Source organism: Homo sapiens, chromosome 16 (genome assembly GCF_000001405.40).
Source record: "Homo sapiens chromosome 16, GRCh38.p14 Primary Assembly".
NCBI classification, from domain to species: domain Eukaryota; kingdom Metazoa; phylum Chordata; class Mammalia; order Primates; family Hominidae; genus Homo; species Homo sapiens.
Window position 1 is genome coordinate 48453277 of NC_000016.10, and position 3336 is coordinate 48456612.

The 3336-nt window shown below is 51.4% G+C and overlaps 1 annotated feature.

Moving 5' to 3' along the window:
• Positions 2496-2995: an enhancer, noted in NCBI's record as "H3K4me1 hESC enhancer chr16:48489683-48490182 (GRCh37/hg19 assembly coordinates)". NCBI's record gives its function as "activates a minimal SCP1, AML or CMV promoter by ChIP-STARR-seq in naive H9 embryonic stem cells {active_cell/tissue: H9 hESC(naive)}" and the evidence as "EXISTENCE:reporter gene assay evidence [ECO:0000049][PMID:30033119]".

Consider the following 3336-nt stretch of genomic DNA (forward strand, 5'->3'; position numbering starts at 1 on the left):
GCAACTGCTGGTGGCATCAACAGTAAAGGGCTGTGATCCTGTTTCAGAGCTTCTGAGGTCTTCCAAAGGTGTTTGCTCTTTCTAATCCCAATTAGATACTCCTGAGGCCAATACCAACCTTGTAGGGCACAGGCAGGGGCTGGACCACTCAGCACCCTCCCTACTCCCCAGGCCTTGGCAGGCCCTGCCCTTGCAGCTGGCCCTGAGCTCAGGGCACCCAGAGGGTAGTCTGCTCCTCCCAGGCCTTCTCCTAGGGTGTCAGGGTATGAGGTGTCAGATCTGGGGCACTCCTGACATTCTAATCCACCCGGGATTCCGGCAGATGCCAAGTCTCTGGTATCAGGGGAAATGACCTCAGAGCTTTGGATGTGGCTGGCAGGCCACTGTCCAGACTTAAAGGTCTCCCAGCAGGCACCTGTCATCTGAGCTGGGAGGTCTCTTGTCCCTCCCCTGCCTCAGACCTTCCAGAAGACAGCTGAGGCTCCTGGGAGAGAAGGTAGACTTCTAGGACAAGATGAGACCTTGGAATTTCAAAGCCCCTTTTATGAATGCTTGGTTCTCTAAAGTCCAGGCCGGGCGTGGTGGCTCATGCCTCTAATCCTAGCACTTTGGGAGGCCAAGGTGGGCAGATCACTTGAGGTCAGGAGTTTGAGACCAGCCCGGCCAACATGGTGAAACCCTGTCTCCACAAAAAACACAAAAATTACCCAGGCATGGTGGTGGGTGCCTGTAATCCCAGCTACTCAGGAGTGTGAGGCAGGAGAATCGCTTGAACCTCTGAGGTGGAGGCTGCAGTGAGCTGAGATCACGTCACTTCACTCTAGCTTGGGCAACAGAGTGAGACCCTGTCTCAAAAAATAGATATCTATATCTCTATACATAGATGTATGTAATAAAGGCTGAAAACACAGCTTTCCTCTTGGGCCAGTGGAGGAGAAGTGAACTGCCGTGTACTGCATGGGCTTGGGGGCCCTGAGGAAGACCCTCTCTTGCTCCCAGGTATTTATCACTACACTGCACAGTGGATGGAAAGTGAAATTAGGACCACTCTTCACGCTGCCACTCGCCGTGGCCTTCACCTCCTTCCCTTCCCTCAAACCTGTGAGGAGTGCGGAACTGCTCCATCACGTCCATTTTCACACATGAGGAATCCCAGGTTTGGAAAGGTTATTTGTGATTCATCCCAAGCCAGGGACCAAAACTGGTCAGGGCAGAGCTCAATCCCAAAGGCAGGTTTTCCGTTTCCACCATAACCCAAAGCATTCAAGCCATTCTCCAGCCATGCTCCTTTCATAAAGGAGTCACACGCACGTAAGCGTGTTCATTTGGAAATTCTTTGATGGAGCTATTTATGTGCCCATTCATCACCAATATTTATTTTTTTAATTAATTACTATTTTTTTTTTTTTTTGAGACAGAGTCTTGCTGCGATGCCCAGGCTGGAGTGCTGTGGTGCGATCTCGGCTCACTGCAACCTCCGCCTCCCTGATTCGTGATCCTCTTACCTCAGCCTCCTGAGTAGCTGGGATTACAGGCACCCGCCACCATGTCTGGCTAATTTTTGTATTTTTCAGTAGAGACGGGGTTTCACCATATTGGCCAGGCTGGTCTGGAACTCCTGACTTCAAGTGATCCGCCCGCCTTGGCCTCCCAAAGTGCTGGGATTATAAGCATGAGCCACCAGGTACAGCCCATCACCAGTATTTATTAAGCACTTTCTTTTTTATTTTTATATTTTGACCTTTACAAAATGATGTGGGGTGTGTGTGTGTGTGTGTGTGTGTGTGTGTGTGTGTGTTTTAAGAGACAGGATCTTGCTTTGTTGCCCAAGTGGAAGTGCAGTGGTGTGGTCACAGCTCACTGCAGTCTTGACTTCCTGGTCTCAAGCGATCCTCCCATTATAGTTCTCAGTCTCCCAAAGTAGCTGGGACCACAGATGCACACCACCATGTACAGCTAATTTTATTTTGTAAATTTTTTATAGAGACAGGGTCTCACTATGTTGCCCAGGCTGTTGCTGAACTCCTGGGCTCAAGCAATCCTCCGCCTCAGCCTCCCAAAGTGCTGGGAATACAGGCGTGAGCCACTGTGCCCAGTTTATTAAGCACGTTCTGTGAGCCCAGCTCTTGGCTGGGGACTGTGGGGACCTCCAAGGTGAAAACGGTCTAGTTCCTGCTTGAGAAGGAGAAGGAGGTGTGGATTAAGGAGAAAAGGAAGACAGGTCCTGAAGACAGACCTGCAGGGAAAACGATGGGCTGGAGGAGGGGATGGCCAGCACATCCCAGGGGCACTGTCTGTGGGCTGGGGCTCCAGGGGGCTTCCTGGAGGAGGACTGGGGGAAAAAGGGGCTCTGTTTGGAAGCTGTGATGACCCTTGAGAGTCTTGATGGACGCAACAGCCAAGAGCCCCCAGCTCCCAGTTGGCAGAGGTGCAGGCTGGGGCTGAGGCTGTGCTCAGAGTCCCCTGGTGCCCAGAAGGTGTGTGGAGACAGAGCCTGGAGGAAGCTGCAGTGCACACATCCCCTGCTTGGTGGAGAGGAGAACCCATCCTGGGCGTCCCTGGCTCAGCTCTGAAGACCAGAGCACAGTTGGTGCCCCGTTCAGGGCCCCAGCCAAGCCCCCCGGGGAGGGATAGCCCTTCAGAAGCCCTTTCCTTCCCTGCAGGCACATGTGGGTGCTTTTCCCAAAAGCCGGGGTAGAACCACCTCTCTCTTTGGAGAAAGTTCTTCCATGGTAACTGCTAACACAGCAGGGCTCAGGGATCAGCGGACCCTCGACAAAAGTGAAGTAAGGTCACAGAGTACAGCAGGGTTAAGCCCCCTGTGGACCAGGCTGGCCCTGCCACTTACCAGCTTTGGGGATTTTGGGCAAATCACTTAATGCTCTGAATTTCAGTTTCTCCTCTGTAAAGTACAGTTGTGTCTGCCTTATAGGGTGGTTGTGAGTTTTTCTTTTTTAAATCTTTCTTTTTTAAATTTTTTTCAGACGGGGTCTTGCTCCATCACTCAGGCTGGAGGGCAGTGGTGCCGTTATGGCTCACTGTACCCTCAAATTCCTGGGCTCAAGCAATCCTCCTCTCTTAGCCTCCCAAAGGGCTGAGATTACAGGTGTGCACCACCACACCTGGCTAATTTTTAAAAATCTTTTGTAGATATAGGGTCTTGCTATATTGCCCAGGTTGCCCTCAAACTCCTAGCCTCAAGTGATCTTCCTGCCTCAGCCTCCAAAAGGTTTGGGATTACAGGTGTGAACCACTACACACAGCCAGCCACTTGGCCTAATATTTCAACTTCAAATAACTTTTTTTTTTTTCAGTGGAGTCTCCCTCTGTTGCCCA